The sequence below is a fragment of the Homo sapiens genome, chromosome X, assembly GCF_000001405.40.
Source record: "Homo sapiens chromosome X, GRCh38.p14 Primary Assembly".
NCBI lineage: Eukaryota > Metazoa > Chordata > Mammalia > Primates > Hominidae > Homo > Homo sapiens.
This window is the reverse complement of record NC_000023.11, coordinates 102,941,527-102,964,753: the sequence shown is the minus strand read 5'-3', so window position 1 is coordinate 102,964,753 and position 23,227 is coordinate 102,941,527. Positions and strand designations below refer to the sequence as shown.

General features: G+C 40.1%; 1 long non-coding RNA gene across 1 annotated transcript in view; it reads right to left on the bottom strand.

Annotated features, from left to right (window-relative positions):
* Nucleotides 1–230: 230 nt before the first annotated feature.
* The window catches only part of LINC00630 (long intergenic non-protein coding RNA 630), a 195,371-nt gene continuing 172,374 nt past the window's right edge, over nucleotides 231–23,227 (bottom strand). Inside the window, exons 11-12 of the long non-coding RNA NR_146589.1 lie at nucleotides 6,053–6,106; nucleotides 231–3,148 (exon numbers count right to left, since the gene is read on the bottom strand). This is a non-coding gene — a long non-coding RNA (long intergenic non-protein coding RNA 630). The remainder of the gene's footprint in view (nucleotides 3,149–6,052; nucleotides 6,107–23,227) is intronic.

Below are 23,227 nucleotides of genomic sequence, written 5' to 3'. Positions count from 1 at the left end.
GCAAGGGGGCGAGAGGAATGGAGGCTGGAGGTTAACTCCAAGGTATCAGGCAGTTTTCTGCAATTATTCACCTGATTGTAGCAATCTCTCTGCATCAACTATTTTCTAGGATATCTAAAACTGAAATTGGAGTCAAGCCCATCTCTGAATTCAAGGTGAAACTTCACTTGTGAGTGTGTATTTGGAGTGATGATAGAGCCAGAGGACACACACACATACATACTCAGTTATTTCAAAGTTTAATCAACTTTATTTCACCATAAATTTAACACAGTGAATGCTTTTTCAAATTAATAAATATGTGTGCACATGACATTTGTCAATCTGTTCACAAGTAATTTTTTGTTTAAATTTGTATGAATATTTTTAAAAGACAAAATTTCAAACAATATATAAAAGTATATTCCTAAATAGAAATTAATCTGCATCCTTCACTTGCTCTTCCCCTACCCCTTAACACAAAAAGGTTTGCTGTCAATAGAACAAAGCTTTTATCCCAGACATGTTTCACATCATGCCTCTGAGCAGACCCAAATTCTGTTCTCCAGGTTGGGAAGAATGTAATTGACCTCAGCTGGTGAGCTCAGTGATAGGTCACATGAAGGAAGCAAGGAGTGGTGTTTGCCTAATGGCTGCTCCTGGACTGCTCAGTATATTAATACATTTACAGAAAAATTGTGAACGTGTACAGGAGTAACCAGTACAGGGTCCTCAGATCATGCATTATTCAGCCATATCACACCAGGATTTCAGCCACCTGCTGCCTTCTTGGAGAGGCAAAAATTTAGCATTTATTTGACTCACAATTGCCCATTGTCCATTTTCTCACTAATAACTAAATACATATTTAGCTCAAAACTCATACTAGTCGATTAGAGGCCTCTCATGAGCTCTAAAGTGAAAATAAGAGCGTAAGAAAGAAAATGTGCTGGGTGAAGTGGCTCACACCTATAATCCCAGCACATTAAGAGGTCGAGGTGGGAGGATCACTTGGGCCCAGGAGTCCGAGACCAGCCTGGGCAACCTAAAGAGACTCCCGTCTCTACAAAAATAAACAAACAAAAAAAATTAACTGGGTGTGTTGATATGCACCTGTGGTCCCAGCTACTCGGGAAGCTGAGCTGGGAGGATCACAGGAGCCCCAGGAGGTTGAAGCTGCAGTGAGCCATGATCGCAACACTGTACTCCAGCCAAAAAAAAAAAATGAGCAATTTCTAGTGTTAAATCTGAGATAAGATAGCTTCATCACGTTAACTTTTAAAAATACATTTATTGTCTATATTTAAGATATGCAATATGATGTTCTAAGATACATACAGAAAGTAAAGTATTAGTTACTATATAGTGAAGAAAATAAATATATTCATAATACCACATAGTTACCCATTTTTTTGTGCATGGCAAGAACAGCTAAAATCTTCTCATTTAGCAAAACCCCTAAGTATCTTCATTTTAAAACCTTCTCAAGTTTCAAGAAATTGATTATTTTTTAAAATCTCCCCATTCAGCCAGAATCTCCATCTCTTTCCCTTCAAAGTTAAACTACCAAAGAGAGTTTTCTACATTTCCTGTTAAAATTCTTCACTTCCCCCTGCACTGTGGCTTCTGTCGCCAGGATTGCAATGAACATGATCTTACCAAGGTTGCAATCCACCTATTTGTCACCAGGTCCAGTTTTTTGTGTAAATGTATTAACCTGTGAAGTATTACTTTTAATGAGCTCCTAAAATATGCATGCTTGTGTAGTTGCTTCTTTCACCTAACAACAGAGCCTTGACAGTTTCCCAGGCTCTGGAGCATGATGTACTGAACATAAATCCAAGCTGTCGCACTCCCTAACTGTGCAGTCTCAGGTAAAATTTTTATTCTATCTGCTCCTTAGTTTTCCATCTACAAAATGGAGATCAGCAACAGTTTCAACCTTGTAAGGGTGCCGTGAGAATTGAACGACTCAGTAGCTAAAAAGCACTTGGCACATAACATATTGTAGCCATATTTGTTTCTCTGTCTTTATTGGCCATTAGTATTTACTATCTCTGTGGTAAAGACTCATATTTACTCACAACCAATGACCTTTGAGGTATGGTTTTAGTGAGACAAGCAGGTTATAAAACTAAATGTAGAATGAGATCTTATATTTTGTAGATAAGTATATAAATGTATTCATTTCTGCATAAATTTATAAGTACCTGCATAAGAAAATTTGTGAAAGAATATTATACAGATATAAGCATTAGCAGGTATTCTCTTTGAAATACTCAAGATATTTTGAGAGCAGGTATTCTCTTTTGTTTTAGAGTAATGCTGTTTATTTCATTTCTTATGTATTTATAACTGTAATAAATATCAAATGCTCCTGCAATTATACAAAAACATTGTCAGGAACATTCAAGCATTCCTTACCCCACCCACAGGAAAGAGATACACATTTAGAATGAAGAATATCCCTGAAGCTCAAGAATAAAAGATACTGAGGGAGCCACTTCCAAGTATACGAGGATATATTTTCCCCTAATTCAAAACCAAAGCAATAATTATCAATATTTTATACACCATGACATTCTAGGATTTAAAACCTAGTAGTTTTACACGTTTGTAGTATTGTGCCTTCATGGATACACATTCAACAACTCCTCCCACTTTGAATTACCCACTGGTGCAGATGAAATTCTGGTTCAGAGTCCTGTAGGTGGTAATGGTATGAGGGTCAAGGGCATGTGACTTCTCTCTCCTCTTTATCTGCACTCTTTCTTTATTTGACACTCCATAGGAAACTATTTTTCCAATATCAGTATAGAAGCTCAAATAATGGGGCAAAAATGACACAGAATTAAAGAAATGGTTTGATGATCTTTTCCCTCTTCCCACATTCCTTGGCAAAGCCATCCTGCATCACAGAAATAGCCCCAAAGCTTCATTTATAAACTAAATGTAAGTATATGCTACTTCTTCCTGCTCCATTACCAGCTGGTCTCTGTGGTAGTTATGCTGTTTGGTTTAGATGACAGTCATCACTTCTCTGGGAAGGAGAAGAAAAGTGGGCCAGGATGAATATTTGTTGAAGACTAGGTGCCATCTTCTCTGTATAGGATTTCTCTAGGTGCCATCTTCTCTGTATAGGATTTCTCATTTACCCCACAGGACAGTTCTGTAAGTAACACATCATGAGCTCTCAGTGGTTCCCTTTTCCGGATGACCATGGGCAAGCTGACAGAGGTTAAGGAAGTTTTCCAGTGTCACACATCAAGTAAAAGGCAGGAATGAGGTTCCAGCTTTTGTCCTCTTTAAAATGTTCCATGCATTTTCAACAGAGGATATATTGCCCCCAAGGGGCTGAGAATTGGTTTTTAAGGGTAGGGAGATAGTAGACATTAAAATGGTTTGTGGCACTACATAGGACCAAAATACATAAACAGTTAACACTATATCTGTGGTATTAAAATTTCACATTTCAGGCAAGAAGGGACTAATAAGGAGGAAAAACATGTCTAATAAGGCTCCTTTGGATAACGAAAGAAGATTGGGAAACATTTAATGTGCCCAGTGATATCTTCTGTAGATAATGGGCCACCAAGGCTTAGGGGCTGGTCATTTCACACCACCCCATGGATGCCTACTCAATAACCCCTTTAGATGATGATGCTGATGATGATAATGGGCATTTAATTATAAGTTACTTGAGTAGTATTTTCATTAATCTTAACCTTTACTCAAGTAATTTATAATTAAATGTCCATTTTATATCAGGTTATAGAAAGTTAGGAGAAGTTAAATAAATCAGGGAAACTTTGTTGTTAATGTCTGAAATTTCACTAAAGCTTCTGCTACAGATCTTCACAACCCTGTGCTCAGAAGATCCCCTTGACTCCCTGAGCAGAGCCTGCAGACTGACATGGAGAGCTACATGGAGTCTAGGCAGAGCCACTGCTCAGGCACACATGGAGCTCCAGGGCCCTTGGACTGCTGGGCACCCCAGCACCAGTGGCTGTAGCTCTGGCAACAAGAGAGGCCAGGCTCCCTGGAATGCCTCCAGTATAGGGGCTAAATCCACGGGGCTGAGGAGCAGATGGACTGCAGGCCTCACCTCCATTGCACCTTGCTGGATAATGCCCACTTGGCTGGGTCCCTAGCATGGCCACTCCAGCCTCACTTGAGCTCTAGAGCCAATAGCAGCCCTGTATTTCCCTGGAATGGAGCTCTCAGTGGTAGCAGACGGGTCCCCCAGTCTTGGCAGGGTGATTAAGGACTAATGCAGGCCCCCAGCACAGCACAGCTGCCTTACAGAAAAGTGGCCAGACTTTTTTCCACATAGATCTCTGTCCCCACTACTTCTTACTGGGCAGGGCCTCCAGACTTGGGACTCCAGCCACCCCACCCATGTCTGGGCTCTTGGGCCAGTAGCAGATCCCCCTGGGGGATCTGTACTTCCCTGGGACAGAGCTCTCAATTGTAGCAGGCAGGTCTGCCATTTTTGCTGCTCTGCAGCTCCTGCTCCTGTTTCCCTCAGGCTCAGGAGGGAGCCAAAAGACTTAGGACTAATGCAATCCTCCAGCACAGTGCAGCTGCTTTTTAGATAAGAAGGCAGACTCTCTTCCACATGGGCCCTGGCCCTGTTACTCCTCAGTGGGCAGGGTCTCTCTACCCAGGCCCCCAGAACAACCACCTTGTCCCCGCCCAAACATTTAAGTCAGTGGCAGCTCTGTCATTCTCTAGGGAGGAAATCACAGAGACAACCCACAGCCCCTCTCATTGCAGCTGCAGTGGTACTGCCCTTACTGCCTTTGGGCTGGGGAAGGAACAAAGGTCCAGGTCGCATTGCTGGCACCACCAGCACACCACAGCCACCATATGGGGAGGAGCCCAGTCTGTCTTCCCTGTGAGGCCTCGCTCCCTACTCTTCAACAGGCAAGGCCCCTGGCTTGGGACTACAGGGCAGCTACGCCACCCCCAACTAAGCATTCCCACTGGCAGTGGTTCTGTGTTTCCCTGGGGTGGAGTTCCCAGTGGCAACAGACAGCCCCTTTACCACTGCCACTGCAGTGGTTTTGACCTTGTTGTCTTTGGACTGGGGAAGGAACAAAGAGCCTGAGGGCATTACTCATGTCTCTAGCATGCCATAGTCACCATATGGAGAGGAACTCAGTCTCCCTTTCGTGTGAGTCCCTGACCCTTTACTCTTCACCAAGAAGGGCTCCCAGCTCAGGCCCATGGCACAGCCACCTCACCCTCTGGCTGAACACTTGCATTAGCAGACGCTCTGCATTTCTGTGAGGTGGGGCTCCCAGAGACAACTGAAAGTCCCTCTGACACTGCCACTGCAAAGGTACTGTGCTCGATGTCCTTGGACTGTGGAAGAAACAGAGACCCCTGAGTGCCTTACTCACACCTCCAGCATGCTGCAGTTGCTGTAAGAAGAGGCCAGTCTGTGTTCCCCATGGGCCCCCAGGCTTGAGCCCACAATGCAACCACCCCACACAAGGCCAATCACTCTGATTGACAGCAGTTCTGCATGTCTCTGGGATAGAGCCCCAAGAGACAAATTAAAGGCCCTCTGCCATTGCCACTGTCAAGGTTCGTGTTTGCCCCCATGCTGTGGAGGGAACATAAAGGCTGAGCTTACCCCGGGGCTGTAGTATGACGTCCAGGAGTGCCAAACCCAGATCTGCAGCCAGCACTTGAGTGGGAAAGGAGCCTACACTCTCAGAGCACTGAGAGAGAGAGAGCACAGCTGCAAATGCGGGCAAATACAGAGTAGTCATGTGACTGAACAACAGTCTACCTATCAGCCAGCATGCTTAAGCACCATCTACTGGATCACAGCCCAAACTTCAACACAAAAAAATACTTTAATATATCCTCTGTGAAACCAAGGACAATAATTCAGCTACAAATAAATACCCTGCACAAAGCATTAGCCCTCTGAAAACATCGAGAAATGAAGGTAACTGACTACACTCAAATTACACCACAGTTAAGGGTACACAAACCCACACACATGAGAAACAATCAGTGCAAGAACTCTGGCAACTCAAAAGCCAGAGGGTCTACTTACCTCCAAATCACTGCACTAGTTCCCCAGCAATGTTTCCTAACCAGGCTGAAAAGGCTGAAATGACAAAAATAGAATTCAGAATATGGATAGGAATGATCATCGACATTCAAGAGAAAGTCAAAACCCAATCCAAGGAATATAAGGAATACAATAGAACTATATAGGAGATAAAAGATGAAATGCTGTTGTAACAAAGAACCAGGCTGGGCATGGTGGCTCACGCCTGTAATCTCAGCACTTTGAGAGGCTGAGGTGGCCAGATCACTTGAGGTCAGGAGTTCGAGACCAGAGTGGCCAACATGGCAAAACTCTGTCTCTACTAAAAGTACAAAAATTAGCCAGGCATGGTGGCACGTTCCTGTAATCCCAGCTCCTTGGGAGGCTGACGCAGGAGAATCACTTGAACCCGGGAGGCGAAGCTTCCAGTGAGCCGAGATTTCACCACTGCACTCCAGCCTGGGTGACACAGCAAGACTCTGTCTCAAAACAAAAACAAAAACAAAAACAAAACAAAAAACAAAAACACAACTGATATGACAGAGCTGAAAAACTCACTTCAAGAATTTCATTAAAAAAATCACAAGTATTAACAGCAGAACCCACTAAGCTGAGGAAAATATCTCAGAGCTCAAAGACCAGTTCTCGAAAATAACTAAGACAAAAACAAAAAACAATAACGAAGAATGAACAAAACCTCTAAGAAATATGGGATTATATAAACAGACAAAACCCATGACTCATTGGCATCCCTGAAAGAGAGGGAGAGAAAGAAAGCAACTTGGAAAACATATTTGACAATATCAGCCACAAAAATTTCTCCAAGCTCACTAGAGAGCCCAACATTCAAATTCAGGAAATGCAAAGAACCCTGCAACATACTATACAAGACAATTATCTCCAAGGCACATAGATTCTTCAAGGTCAAAATGAAAAAATATTAAAGGTAGCTATAGAGAAGGGGCAGGTCACCTACAAATGGAAACCCATCAGGCTAACAGTGAAGTCTCAGCAGAAACCCTACAAACCAGAAGAGATTAGGGGCCTATATTCAACATTTTTAAGAAATTCCAACCAGGAATTTCATATTCCATCAAAGTAAGCTTCGTAAGCAGAGAAATAAATCCTTTTCAGTCAAACAAATGCTAAGGCAATTCATTAGCACCCGACCTACCTTACAAAAGGTCCTTAAGGAAGTGCTAAATATGGAAAGGAAAGACCGTTACCAGCCACCACAAAAACAGACTTAAGTACACAGACCATTGACACTATAAAGCTACCACAAAATCAAGTCTGCAATAATAACCAGCTAACAACATAATGACAGGATCAAACTTGCACATATTAATATTACCCTTAAATATAACCAGGTTAAATGCCCCAATCAAAAGGCATAGAATGCCAAATTGGATAAAGCAGCTAGACCCAACTGTATGCTGTCTTCAAGAGACCCCATTTCACATCCAATGACACCCAAAGGCTCAAAATAAAGGGATGGAGAAAAATCTACCAAGCAAATGGAAAACAGAAAAAAGCAGGGGTTCTTTTTCTAATTTCAGACAAAACAGACTTTAAAGCAACAATGATCATAAAAGACAAAGAAGGGCATTACACAATGGTAAAGGGTTCAACAAGAAAACCCAATTAGCCTAAATATATATGCACCAACATAGGAGTACCCAGATTAATAAAGCAAGTTCTTAGAGACCTATGAAGAGATTTAGATAACCACACAATAAAAGTTGGAGACTTCAACATCTCATTGATAGTATTAGACCATCGAGGCAGAAAACTAACAGATATTCAGCACCTGAACTCAACAGCTGACCAGATGGACCTAACAGACATCTACAGAACTCTCCACCCAAAAACAAGTATATACATTCTTCTCATATGCACATGGCACGTACTCCAAAATTAACAACATAATCGGCTGTAAAAGAATCCTTATCAGCTGGGCGTGGTGGCTCATGCCTGTAATCCCAGCACTTTGAGATGCCAAGGCAGGTGGATTCCCTAAGGAGTTCAAGACCAGCCTGACCAACATGGTGAAACCCCGTCTCTACTAAAAATACAAAAATTAGCTGGGCATGATGGCAGACGCCTGTAATCCCAGCTACTCACGAGGCTGAGGCAGGAGAATCACTTCAGCCCGGGAGGTGGAGGTTGCAGTGAGCTGAGACAGCACCATTACACTCCAGCCTAGGTGACAGAGTGAGACTCCATCTCAAAAAAAACAAAACAAAACAAAACAAAACAAAAACAAAAACAAAAAAAACAGAAAAAAACAAAAAACAAAAACAAAAAGCCTTATCAAATTCAAACAAACCAAAATCATACCAAACACACTCTCAGACCTCTCAGACTACATTACAGTAGAATAAAAATAGAAAACAGTATTCAGAAAATTGCTCAAAACTATAAAATTACATGGAAATTATACAAAGTGGTTTTTTTGTTGGTGGTGGTTTTCTTTTTTTTTTTTTAGACGGAGTCTCTGTCGCCCAGGCTGGAGTGCAGTGGTGTGATCTCGGCTCACTGCAACCTCTGCCTCCCAGGTTCAAGTGATTCTTCTGCCGCTGCCTCCCAAGTAGCTGGGACTACAGGTACGTGCCACCATGCCCAGCTAATTTTTTTGTATTTTTAGTACAGACAGGGTTTCACCATATTGGCCAGGCTGGTCTTGAACTCCTGACACAAAGTGTTCTTTAATAACTCTTGGGTAAACAATGAAATTAAGGCAGAAATCAAGAAGTTATTTGAAACTAATGAGAACAAAGATAAAACATATCAGATAATGGAATCTTTGGGACACAGCTAAACCAGTTTTAATGGTGAAGTGCTAAATGTCCACAACAAAAAGTTAGAATGACCTCAAATGAACAACCAAACATTACACCTAGAGTAACTAGAGGAACGAAAGCAAACCAACCCCAGAGCTAGCAGAAGACACAAAATAACCAAATCAGAGCTGAACTGACTAAAACTTATTTGCACAAAAACATACAAAAGGTCAATTAGTCCAGGTTGGTTCTTCAAAACAATAAATAAGATTGATAGACTGCTAGCTACATTAATAAAGAGATAAGATAAAAATAAACACAATCAGAAATGACAAAAGGGACATTACTACTGACTCCACAGAAATACAAAAAAAAAAACAACCCTTACAGACTACTTTGAACACCTATATGCATAAAAACTAGAAAACCTCGAATAAATGAATAAATTCCTGGAAACATACAACTCCCCAAGATTGAACCAGGAAGAAATTGAATCCCTGAACAGGCAAATAATGAGCTCTGAAATTGAATGAGCAATAAAAAGCATACAAACAAGAAAAAGCCCAAGACCAGATTGATTCACTGCCGAATTCTACCAGATGTATAAAGAAGAACTGAGACCATTCCTACTGAAACTATTCCCCAAAATTGAGGAGGAGATACTTTTCCCTAACTCATTCTATGAGACCAGCATCATCCTGATCCAAAACCTAGCAGAGACAACAACAACAACAATAACTTCAGGCCAATTTCTTTGATGAACATAGATGCAAAAATCCTCAACAAAATACTAGCAAACTGAATCCAGCAGAACATCAAAAAGCTAATCCATCATGATCAAGTAGGCTTTATCTCTAGGATACAAGGTTGGTTGAACATATGTTTCATATGTTCATAACAGAACTAAAACATAACATAAACAGAACTAAAAACAAGACATGATCATCTCTATGTATGCAGAAAGGCTTTCAATAAAATTCAACATCCCTTCATGATAAAACCCTCAATGAACTAGTCGTTGAAGGAACATACCTCAAAATAAGAGGCATATATGACAACCCCACAGCCAATATCATATTGAACAGCCACAAGCTGGAAGCATTACCCTTGAGGACTGGATGCCCACTCTTGCCACTCCTATTCAACATAATTCTGTAAGTCCTAGCCAGAGCAATCAGGCAAGAGAAAGAAATAAAAGGCATCTAAACAGGAAGAGGGGAAGTCAAACTATCTGTTTGCAGATGATATTACTCTGTACCTAGAAAACCCCATAATCTGCCCTAAAGCTCCTCGAACTTCAACTTTAGCAAACAAAATCAGTGTACAAAATCATTAGCATTTCTATACACCAACAATGTCCAACTCTGAGAGCCAAGTCAAGTATGCAATCCCATTTACAATTACAAAAACAGAAACAAAAACCTAGGAATACAGTTAACCAGGGAGGTGAAAGATCTCTACAAAGAGAATTACAAAACACTGCTCAAATAATTTAGAGATGACCCAAACAAATGGAAAAACATTCCATGCTCATGGATAGGAAGAATTGCTATTGTTAAAATGGCCATACTACCAAAGCAATTTATAGATTCAATGCTATTCCAATCAATCAATGACATTCTTCACAGCATTAGAAAAAACTGTTTTAAAATTCATATGTAACCAAAATAGAGCCCAAATAGCCAAGGCAATTCTGAGGAAAAGTAACAAAGCCAGAGACATCATGTTACCTGGCTTCAAACTATGCTACATAGCATACCTGACTTTGAGCGGCTACAGTAACCAAAACAGCATCGTACTGGTACAAAATCAGACACAGAGACCAATATAACATAACAAAGAGCCCAGAAATAAAGCCACACACCTACCACCATCTGATCCTTAACAAAGTCATCAGAAATAAGCAATGGGAAAATAACCCCCTATTCAATAAATGGTGCTGGTATAACTGGCTAGCCATATGCAGAAGATTGAAACTAGACCCCTTCCTTACATCATATACTAAGCTCAAGATGGATTAAAGACTTAAATGTAAAACCTAAAACTATAAAAAGTCTTGAAAGCCAGGTGCGGTGGCTCACGCTTGTAATCCCAACACTTTGGGAGGCCGAGGCGGGCGGATCAAGAGGTCAGGAGATCGAGACCATCTTGGCTAACATGGTGAAACCCCATCTCTACTAAAAATATAAAAAATTAGCCGGCTGTGGTGGCGGGCGCCTGTAGTCCTAGCTACTCAGGAGGCTGAGGCAGGAGAATGGCGTGAACCCGGGAGGCGGAGGTTGCAATGAGCCGAGATCATGCCACTGTACTCCAGCCTGGGCGACAGAGCGTGACTCCGTCTCAAAAAAAAAAAAAAAAAAAAAAAGGAAAAAAAAAGTCTTGAAAAAAGCCTGGGAAATAGTATGCTAGACATTGGCCCTGGCAAATATTTTATGATGAAGAAACCAAAAGCAATTGCAACAATACCAAAAATTAACTAATGGAACCTAACTAAATTAATAGCTTCTGCACAGCAAAAGAAACTATCAACAGAGTAAACATACAGCCTACAGAATGGGAGAAAATACTTGCAAACTATGCATCCAACAATGATCTAATATCCAGAATCTATAAGGAACTTCAACAAACGTATAAGCAAAAAACAGCCCTATTAAAAAGTGGGCAAAGAACATGAACAGATACTTTTCAAAAGAAAACATATGCGTGGCCAACAAGCATATGAAAAAGTGCTCAACATCACTAATCATTAGATAAATGCAAAACTACAATGAGATACCATGTCACACCAGTCAGAAGGGCTAATATTAAAAAGTCAAAAATTACAGATGCTAGCGAGGTTGTGGAGGAAAGGAAATGCTTATACACTTCTGGTGGGAATGTAAATTACTTCAGACATCGTGGAAAGCAGTGTGGTGATTTCTCAAAGGACTTAAAATGGAATTTCCATTCAACCCAGCCATCCCATTATTGGGTATATACTCAAAGGAATATAAATTATTCTACTATAAAGTGACATGCACACATTCCACAGCACTATTCACAATAGCAAACGCATGGAATCATCCTAAATGCTCATCAATGGTAGACTGGATAAACAAAACGTAGTACATACACACCACGGAATACTACACAACCATAAAAAGAATGAGAGCATGTTCTTTGCAGCAGCATAGATGGAGCTGGAGGCCACTATCTTAAGTGAACTAATACAGGAACAGAAAACCAAATACAACATGTTCTCACCTGTAAGTGGGAGATAAACATGAGTACACGTGGACACGTGTACTTGAGAATAGAGGGTGGGAGAGGACTGAAAAACTACCTATCATGTACTATGCTTGTTACCTGGATGATGAGATAATCTGTACACCCAACCCCTGTGACAAGCAATTTACCTATATAACAAACCAGCAAATATACCCCTGAGCCCCTAGCCTAAAGTAAAAGTTTAAAAAGTATTAAGTGAATAAAGAAATGAATTATACTTGAATATAAAAATAAAAGAAATAGCAACTCTCATACTGGGATATTAGGAGTATATCTGATAAATATTATTCTGATTTCATTATATTAATATAAAATTTTAGAGTATCTGAGATTTTAAAAGGATGCTTTCAAAATCTTATTAAGAAATTCTTGCCAAGACATTTGTGTATATGAGCAAGTGTTACAAATATCATCTGTTATAGAAACTATGGTAAGGGAGCTTACTTTTTACCACTAGGATACTGGGGAAATAAAGTTTACAGCATCCTACGATGAAACACCAGTTAATATAAAAATATTGAACGTATATTGTAACGTAATTTCGAATGTTATAGAAATTTATTTCCATGAAAAAATGCTAATAAAGATTTAAAGAGGGGTACAAAGACTTGAACAAGTAGTCTGGATCCATTTTTCCCTCATTTAGGTCTCTGATTTTCCAGTGGTCAAAGAATAAAAATTAAAATGACCTTTTTCTTCTGATATAGAACTCTCTTTTCAGCACAGTAAGAGATAACGATTTCTGTCTTGAGCCCATCAATGTCCCTGGGAATACTGAGAATGTCCGCTTTGCCACCCAGAGTTCCAGAAAGCTCTGTAAGGTGGGCTTGGGCCACAGCCTCTCCCTCCCACCTTCCTGCTCGCGATGTTCTAGCTGTAGTTCAGCCTTCTGTCACGAGAGGGCACCACGGTACCACCATTATCGAACTCTATCAAGAAGGGTCTGCAAGGAGCAAAAAATAAAATACCTCCCTTAAAACTTAGCTTATGAATCTAGATTACAGAGTAATTCTAATTCTGTCAGAAAAAAACCTGATGATAGGTGTAAAATAAGTCTGTATATATGTATGGCATCAACAATGAAACACCAGACAGCTCTAGCACACGTTGGCAATCATTAGCATTAATAGTGCAAGGCAGGCAGAAGGTGACTGAGAGAGTATGGGCGTGCCTAAGTGGGTCCTGGGCAGCTGCGTCCATAATGTCCTGGAGAGGGGATGAGTGAGAGGGAGTGAGAGGTTTGAGAAGCCTGTACAACGGTAGGGTAACGGAGGGTGAACACCCAGCTCTCTGGAAGGCACCCCTCTACAGTGTGGACACCTCAATCTACACCGAGGAGGGAAGAGATAAATCAATGAATTCGATGTAGATTTGGGGTGAACAGCAAATAGGACTGTTTTTAATATGCATGTGAATTTTCCAAACAGAATTGTTATTATAATAAATATTTTCATAACATTCATTACTCTGTAGAATACACTTCTGTTCATTAAAAAAGAACGACAAAGATGAAGATAGCTGTGATGCCTCCTGGTGGCCAGAGAAATTATTGCACATCTGGGAGTAGAGTTGGGGCAGGAGAGGGGAGGGAGGAAGGGAGGGTGGGATCTAATTAATGGCATCGGGCACAGTATTCTGGAATTTTTCACATACTTGTCACAATTTGTGTGCATCCATTTATCTAGGTTATTTTTTAAAAGTATATTTTCTGGGATATATAAACCTTTTTCTTTCATTTAGAATTTTTCAACATCAGTAATATTGTTACTTAAAAACTATATGGGTCATAATTTAAAAAAAAAGTTTAGCGGATCACGAGGTCAGGAGTTCAAGACCAACCTGGCCAACATGGTGAAACCCCATCTTTACTAAAAAATACAAAAATTAGCCAGGCGTGGTGGAGGGCGCCCGTAATCCAAGCTAGTTGGGAGGCTGAGGCAGGAGAATCGCTTGAAACCAGAAGACAGAGGTTGCAGTGAGCCAAGATTGCACCACTGTACTCCAGCCTGGGCAACAAGAGTGAAACTCTATCTCAAAAAAAAAAAGTTTAATACTCTGGGATCATGTAATGGCAGACCCCAAGGAGATGAGATCATTCACAGCCCCAAAAGCATGAAGACAAAATGAGAAAAACTTTAAAATAATCAAAATTAACTGTTGATAGGGAGATAACAAGGGTATTTTACTGGTTTACTTAGTCACACCTAAAATCAGTAACCTTATATGAATAATGGTGGTGATATTGGGTAATTTGACTGATACTTAGGATTATAGAAGATTAAATATATTTAAAAACGTCTTGAGGCGTGTGTACTATCCCTTGAGGAAGATTAAAGCATTAACAGGCCTGGAGCCATCAAGTCAAAATAGAAAAATACCTTAAGTATTCCAAAGTTAGCTGCTGATCTGGAAAGAACAAGTTGTCTCTCTTATTTGCATAAAATTTCCTAAAGGCAGCACCCTGATGTGAATAATGGTCATAGTCATGGGTACCTTGGACGGCAGTTAAGATTAAAGGAGATGAGATGTAAAGGGCATTTGCTTACAGTAGTTCAGTGCATGTTACTTTCCCTCTCTCCAGCTCACTTGTCTCAAGGCCAACACCTGAGCTTCTGCCTGAGCCCATTCACCACTTCAAGGATCAGCCAACTCGTGTGGCCCTACACCCATGTCTCTTGGTACAAAGCATGAGATTTCACCTCCTCTGCCTTCATCATTACCCAGAGGGGTTGTGGAGTGGGGACCTGTGGGGAACAACAGCCAGGGAGTGGAATCTGACCATTTATCAAGGCCTGGAAGCCCATCTTCTAAAAGGGAGGCTGCCCAGAGCCATCTAGGGAGGGTGAGGGATGGAACCTCATTCCAATCCTGCCACTTTCCTGGGGAGGTGACTTAGGTTCTGTGAGGCTGAGCTTGGTCATCTGTGAAATGGGATTGACCATACCATCTCTACAGAGCTGTCCTGGGGGGTAAATGAGAAAACCTCTTGAGAATATACGGCATGGAGTTGGACTTCAATTATCTTTAAATGTTGGGACACAGCAGTAGGGACTGGCTGGGCCTCAGGGTTAAGGCAGGCATTGTGAAAAATCATTTCTCATTATTTCCCTTTATAAGAAAACAGTTGAAGAAAGCAAATGTTCCTTTGATATGCCTTGAGTTCAAAGTTTTGTAGACAGTAGTTTCTCTACTTCTTGGGTGTTATCAGAAGCTTATAAGAGCTGTTCAACATCATTCCCCTGAGCTGACCCAAATCCAGTTTCCCTTGCCTGGAATACAGGCATGTCTTTGAACTCACCTGGTGATCTCAGTGATAGATAGCAAAGTAAGCAAAGTGTGATGTCTGCTAATGGCTCCTTCTGGACTGCTTAGTATTTTAATTTATGTATAGGAAAATTCTGGACCCATCCTGCAGTCATCAATGCAGGAGTCCTCAGGCCATGTATTATCCAGCCACATCACACCAGGATTTCAGCCACCTGCTGCCTTCTGGAGAGGCACAAATCCAATAGTTAGCAGAATTTTTTACACATAATTGTCTATTCTTTTGTTAGGTAATAACTAAATGTTTATTGAGCTCAGATTTCATGCTGTCCCGGTGGAGGCATCTCATTAGCTCTAAAGTGGAAATGAGAGGGTAAGAAAAGATATGAATATATGGGCAACTTCAAATGTTAAATTGAGATGAGATGGCTCCTTCCCATTATTTTTTCTTTTGAATTTTTCTACTGCCCAATAATTTTAAACTTGATCAAGTTTCAAGTAATTTAAGATTTTCAAATGTCATTCGTTGGACTTACCAGCATCCATTGCAGCCACATGATGGAGATATCTCTTCTGTCTCTCTTTATTGCTCTCTTTCTTTCTCTCTTTGTCTCCTCCTCTTTCTTGGTTTCTTTTTCTTTACATTCAAAGTTCCATAAAGAGTTTTCTACATTCCCTGTTAATATTCTCCACTTTCCACTGACTATCCCACTGCACTATGGCCTCTGTCCACAACATCAAGTAACACATGTGAACTCAAACACCTCTGAAGTGTGTTTCTTGTGCAATTAAAAAATAATAAATGAAATGGAAAAGTGTACTCATGTCATAACAACCGTCAAACAAAATTAGATCAGGTTCTAAATGAGATGCATCCTTAAACCAATCAAGGGATTTCGATAGTAGTTTGGACATATGAAAACTAACTGCAGGGAATCACTGTCTTCTTTCATCAGCTTGGCCCAGATTAGGTTCCAGATGTACAGGGTAACCCCACATGAGTTACAGTTTGAGTTAAGTACAAGTAGTCTGGACAAATAGAAGGTGTTTCATGAAAGAATACACTAAGTCATTGTTTTAGGCTAGTTCACTCCAGGGAAACTCTAGGTGTTTGAATACATCAGGAAAAAAAGTGGGCTTGAAAATAATATCTGCAGATTTTATTAATGCTCCCTAAGCATATAAACTGGGTAAATGAGCCTGTCTGTTTTGGCAAGTTGGAAAGAGAGTATACATGACATGTAGGCATATATGGCAAATCCCACTGTTGAAATCTGAACATGTATTTGTTCTCCTTATGTTTCTTCCTTCCTCTTATTCCATGAGGTATTCATGCATTTAGAGATAAAAATGTAAATTAAAAGTAAAACCTTAAGCCCCCCAACCGACTGAACAAACCTCATGGCCAAGAGGACCCCCCAAAATCCTTAAAACTGAGTTCCTGGGCATGACAGGAAGTGGGGTCAGATAGAACTTGTTATGCTCCCTCCCTTTTGTGGTTTAGATACGACAATTGACCAGCATTAATGTTAAAATAGAGATCATAAGACTGGCAGAACAGACTCTTTGTGGCAATAAGATATCAAATTATAAATAAGACCTAAGGCCATGCCAGGCAAGGGTTAAGTCACACACTCTACACTTAAAGAATAAACTGTGTTCTAATTGACACAAGCTTTCCTTTGCATTTTTCTCCAGCAGCTAAACAAGTACTGGCCTCAAGATAAGCAATATTAAAACAACTTGCAGCTCATCCACCACTAGATGCTGATCCCCAGCCCCTGTTCCACCAGCAATAGCTACAGTTTTGATTGGACAAGAGACTGATTTTGGTAACTTTATTCTGATTAGAAGATCACCAACCATGGACCGGTTCTGGCCAGTTTAAAGAGGGCAGGACTTGAGTGCCTTTGTGTTCTGAAAAGTTCTTTTAACGTATAGGGCCTAATTGTAATACATTTAAATGTGAAGTCTCCACCCCAAGGTGAACCTGGTCCATATGTATAACATACATGTTTGTTCAGTACCCATGTGCCAGGACCCCCTTCATTAATATTCATAGCTCCTCCTATAACGTGTTGAGTATGTATCTTTGTCCAACCCCTTCAGCTTAAATTCCTGTCTTACCTCTCACTCCCTCAAAGTGCCTGCTTCTGGGCTTCTTCCAACGGCTACATTCTCAGCCCATCAGAATGGCCACTCTGCAGGCTGTAACCTTTTATAAGAAATAAAGCTATCCTTTTTAAAATCTATAAATTGGTGATATTTCAGTTAACAAAATCATACCATTAAAAATACCATATTTCATGTGTAGATCTATACAAATGTAATAAAAATATAGAGAAATGTCTTAAAAATGTAAACCCCAAATTTTGCATAGTGGTTACCTGTGAGGAAGAAGGAAACTAATTAGTTAGAGAACACTTCAAAGTGAATTTTAATTGCATATGTTTTATGTTAACATAGAAGTTTCTTATATTCTATAATTTTGTGTATTTCTGAAATATTTAATAAAAACTACTGTTTCTATATTTGATTCTGAATTCAAAAGAGATCCCTACTAATGTGAAATTTTAGGAAACATAATGAGCTCCAGGATAAATTAATCAATAACCCCACGGCTGATTTTTTAAAATGTATCATTTTTGTGAATTACCTCCCATTTGATTCTCTATGCAGACATATTTAATGTATATGCATTACACATGGATTTCATTTATCTGCAGACCTAACATTTGCTAAAGATCATTAAACTAGTTATTAATTGTGCCCAAATATTCTACCCACTCTATCTGACTCCAAAGCCACACCTCCCCACTATTGGGAAATAAAATCTTTTCCTGTGAAAGGGTTGAGGCCAGGAGAGAAGTGACTCCCCATGGTTCTGTACATAAGGACAGATCTGGTATTTGGGACCCAGCTCTCCTGATATCATCTGTTTCCCAGCAGACCCATCTTCATGGTCTGTCATTCTGTGCTGTCTCCTTTCTGAGGCTCAATGAGAGGTTGCTATTCCAATGTCCAAATAGAAGGTAAATGAAGATGTTAGAAAAGGACATCAAATAAAAAATAATGAAATTATTTTCTTTCTCCTCCACTCCATGCATCAGGTAACTTCTACAAAGAAAAGACAGAAAAGCTTTTCTCTCATAGAAATATGTAAACATTTTATTTCCTGCTGCTTCAACTCTAATTGACCTCTAGGAGATGTTCATGTAAACTACGTCTTTTGTGGAAGAGAAAACACAGGGAAAGCCAATACATATATTTGTTGTAGCATTACATGTTAGACACTTCACATAGGTTTAAGCATTATACATTTTCTTCCCACAACAGTTCAGCCAGGTATGTATCAATATGCCCATGTTGCAGATGCCCCAGTTAAGGTTCACAAGGGGTAACTCACTATTATCGGGTCACATATTTAAGTAGAAGCAGGAATAAGATCTACCAAATATATATATTTATATATATATGATAAATACACTCATTTATATATATATATATATATATATATATATATATATAATATAATACACAAACAGGCCCAATTACATGTATTATTTAGCAAATTGAGATGAATATTTTTAAAGTTCTGTTTTCATCCAGTATAATAGGCTAGGACATAAATCTGCATTACTTTAGTTCTTCAGTTATTATAATTTCACTTTTTTTTTTTTTTTTTTTTTAGACGGAGTCTTGCTCTGTCGCCCAGGCTAGAGTGCAGTGGCGTGATATCAGCTCACTGCAACCTCTGCCTCCCGGGTTCCAGCGATTCTCCTGCCTCAGCCTCCCGAGTAGCTGGGATTACAGGCGCATGCCACTGTGCCCAGCTAATTTTTGTATTTTTAGTAGAGATGGGGTTTCACCATCTGGGCCAGGCTGGTCTCAAACTCCTGACCTCGTAATCCACCTGCCTTGGCCTCCCAAAATGCTGGGATTACAGGCGTGAGCCAACTCGCCCAGCCAACTTCCAATGTCTTTAAAAGTTTAAAATCCCTTTTATCAAAATAATTAATAATCGAAACAGTCCAGAAACATCTATAAGGAATAAAGAACAACAGAAGAAACACTATTACAGTTAAATAGAATAGATTTCCATATTCCTCTTGAGATAGCCAAATTCTGTTTGATGGTTGAAGCAGGAAGTACAAGATCTGATTGGTCCTCAATATATGTAGAGTAAATATTGAAGACTATACTATAAACGGCAGATATTAACAGGACTTTATTGACCATGCCATTGAAAGAGCTGGGCACTCAGGCACTTACCACTGTTCAGGGCACATTATCATCCATGAATGTATGAATTAATAAATTTGTGAGATATCCTAGGATGGGGTACATATTTTCCTTATATTCTAAATAGACAGGATCTGAATATCACCACATTGGGCAGTAGGTTACTTTGGCCTCAAATGACATTTTCTCTTCTCTTAAAAAATATCTCCCTTTGAATGCAGTGTTTTCCAGATGTTATAAACTGTGCTAACACCACCAATCGAATTTTGTCAGATCCACTTCCTGGGTATTAAATGCATCCTCCCAGGTCAGAGGACTCAGGGCAGCCCAGGAATCATCTCCTGCATCTTCTTTACTCCCTACCTTGAGTAAGTTGGCAGAGAGATGCATTTAGAGAGAAATGAAAGGGACATTGTGGGCCCACCTAGTAAATCACTGAAGGCATCCAACAAGGATGCAGAGTGATAGGGTCAATTTTGCACGTGGGAACATGTGAAGATACCATGACTAAAATCCAGAAATAAACCATCACATCCCAGGAGGAAATCCTGCACAGAGATTCTACAGAACACAGTTGAAAAGGTCATGTAATGTGGACAACAGGAAAGCTGCCCATTTGAGTAAATTATGGTGAGCCATGAGTCTACAGCAGCACAGAGTTGCCTAAGCAGAAAGGGGCATTTGGTCAACACATGCAGCTCTGTTGGGGTAGGACCACAAATTTAACTCTAAATAAATAACTGCAAAGATGCAACATGTAAATGATAGTAAAGGTGAGTGTTAAATTGTGCCTAAATTTGTCAGAGCAGTGTTGAATTGTGATACAACTCACTGAGCTGATGAAAGGAGCTGAGGCAACAGAGGAGAAAAGCCTCATGAAACATCTCAGGGAGGATACAAGGAGAAAACAAATGAAAGCATGGAAAGTGTGACCTCCTGGAGAGAGTGTTCTGGCTAAGAATGTGCCTCCAGGAGGAAGGCATAAATATGCTGGCAGATGGGAGACCATCAGACCTGGGGTCAGAGAGAAACTATAGTAGGTGTATGATTTCCAGACAGCCTGAGGACCCAATTAGTGGTAAATCCTTCCTCTTAACATTTGCTTCTCACTTTAATGAAGGCTTAGGGCACTGATATCAACCACTTCACTATTTTCAGTGCTCCTGTCTCCTTCCTGCGCCCATGGACCTGTGAGAGGTCTTCAGGACACTTCTGTTCTCACCAAATTTGTGTAATTTCAGGGTGTAAAGGTGACATGCAGCATATCACCGAAGCAAATGTGTTCTTCCACAATCAGTCCCAAATCTGGATGGCCTCAGACCTGGAGTGCCCAGTTATCTCAGAGCCCTGTCTGCTCCCCTGGGAGGCCCCCACTCTTCACTCCAGTCAGGCTGGACTCCCTGTTCCCTCTCTATTTTATGAGGCACAGGTGTCTTCTCCAGGAACCAGCAATCTCTATTCTAAGAATCTATCCCAAACATACATTTCAAAAAGACAAAAAGGCAGAAGAACAAGATCATTCCTAGAAGAACAATTTGTAACAGGACAAGACTATAAATAAGACAAATGTCCACTAAAAGGGGATTGATTGAATAAGGTGCATCTACATCTTAGAGTACAATGCACATATACCAAGCAAGGAGGACTCTCTTTCTCTACTGCCATGTAATGATTTTCAGGATATACTATTAAGTGAAAGAAGCAAGGCACAGAAAAATGTGTGGAGCTGTTGCTGTTCAATATGGTAGGCACTGACCACGTGTAGTTATTTAAACAAGGTATTTTAGATATATTTTATTTTAGATAAAACTAAAAATTTAGGTCCTCAGTTACATTCACCACGTTTCACATATTCAATACCACAGGTAGCTAGTGGCTACTGTGTTTGACAGTGTAGACACAGAATATGTTCACCTCTACAGAAATTCTATTGGACTCCACTAATGTAGAATATGCCACCTATGAAATAGGAGAAGTCTAATACAAATATTACATTTGGTTATAATATTATAAATTTGAATCTTAAAACAAAAATTGATCAATAGTCTGGGCAACATAGCAAGACGGCCTCTCTACTAAAAATTAAAAAGAAAAACATAGCTGGGTGTGGTGATGCATGCCTGTGGTCCCAGTTACTGCAGAGGCTGAAATGGAAGAATTACTTGAGCCTGGGGAGTGGAGAGGCTGCAGTGAGCTGTGATTGTGCCACTGCATTCTGGACTGGGTGACAGAATGAGACCCTGTCTCAAAAAAAATTGATCAAAATGACTGCATGTAAGGGATGGAGGAACAGCCCAGGATGGAAGACAATCATGTGTATTCCCTTAAAAGCATAATACATATTTGCTGGATCCATGCACAGAAAAGGACAAGAAACAAGGACCAATCTAATAGCAATGAGCAACGCTAGTCTCCAGATTGAATTTACTAAAAACATTTCCCATTAAAAGGAATCAGGTTATTTGGAGAAGTGCTTTATTCCAGGTGTGGGTAGGAATTGTAGCTGACGATGCTGGGCCCAACTAACATACCAGAAGACATGTCAAAAAGACCAGAAGCCAAACTAGAGGGGCTCCCACTTCACGAAGATAAAACTATTTGAAGGTCAAATAAAATAATGCAATAGAGTCAATCAAGACAAACATAGAAGTATCTAGATCTAATGAAAATACTCTAAAATAAAAACAAACAAATTATATTTAATGCTCACATTTGTAGGATCCTAGGGAAACATCTCATTATTTCTTCTCATGGGAACACAAACATCTGGTTGAAGGAAGCAAGTATCTCTGTAATATGCCTTAAGTTCAAAGTTTCAGAGAAAGAAAGTATTCTGCATTTTGAAGTATTTCATTGTCTCATACAAGCTACTCAACATCACGCTTCTGAGCACACCCAAATCCAGCTTCCCAGGTTGTGGGTGGGGGCAGTGTGCAAGATAGGCATGACTGGGAAATCACCTGGCGAGCTCAGAGATAGATAGCACCAGGGATGCAAGGTTTGGTGTTTGCCCAGAGGCTGCTTCTGGGCTACTTGCTATGTTAATATATTTATAGAAAAATTCTGGACCTGTCCTGTAGTCACCTGTGCACAGGTCCTCAGGTCATGCATTAGCCAGCCACAGCAACCAGCATTTCAGCCACCTGCTGCCTCCCTGAGGGACAAAAATCTTAGCATTACTGGCATACCTTTGACACACAATTATCCATTCTTTCATTTGCCAATTACTAAATGTGTATATGATATATATATATAACCTTTAAATTCAAATTTTGGAAAAGGGTTTTCTACATTCCTCATTTCCCTTTGATTGCTTATCCCACTGTACTATATCTTCTGCCCATATGATTGCAATGAATGTCCTCTCACCAAGGTCATAATCATCTACCTTTTCTCATTATATCTAGCTTTTCATATAAATATATTAATATACAAAATATTCATTTTAGTAACCTCCCAAAGTACGCATGCTTGCGCAGACTGCTTCTTTCACCTAACAACAGAGCTTTGACAGTCTCCCAGGCTTTGGAGCATGATGTACTGGACACACATCTAAGCTCTCCCTCTCCCTAACTGTGTGGTCTCAGGCAAAGTCTTTATTCACTCTGTACTTCAGATTTTC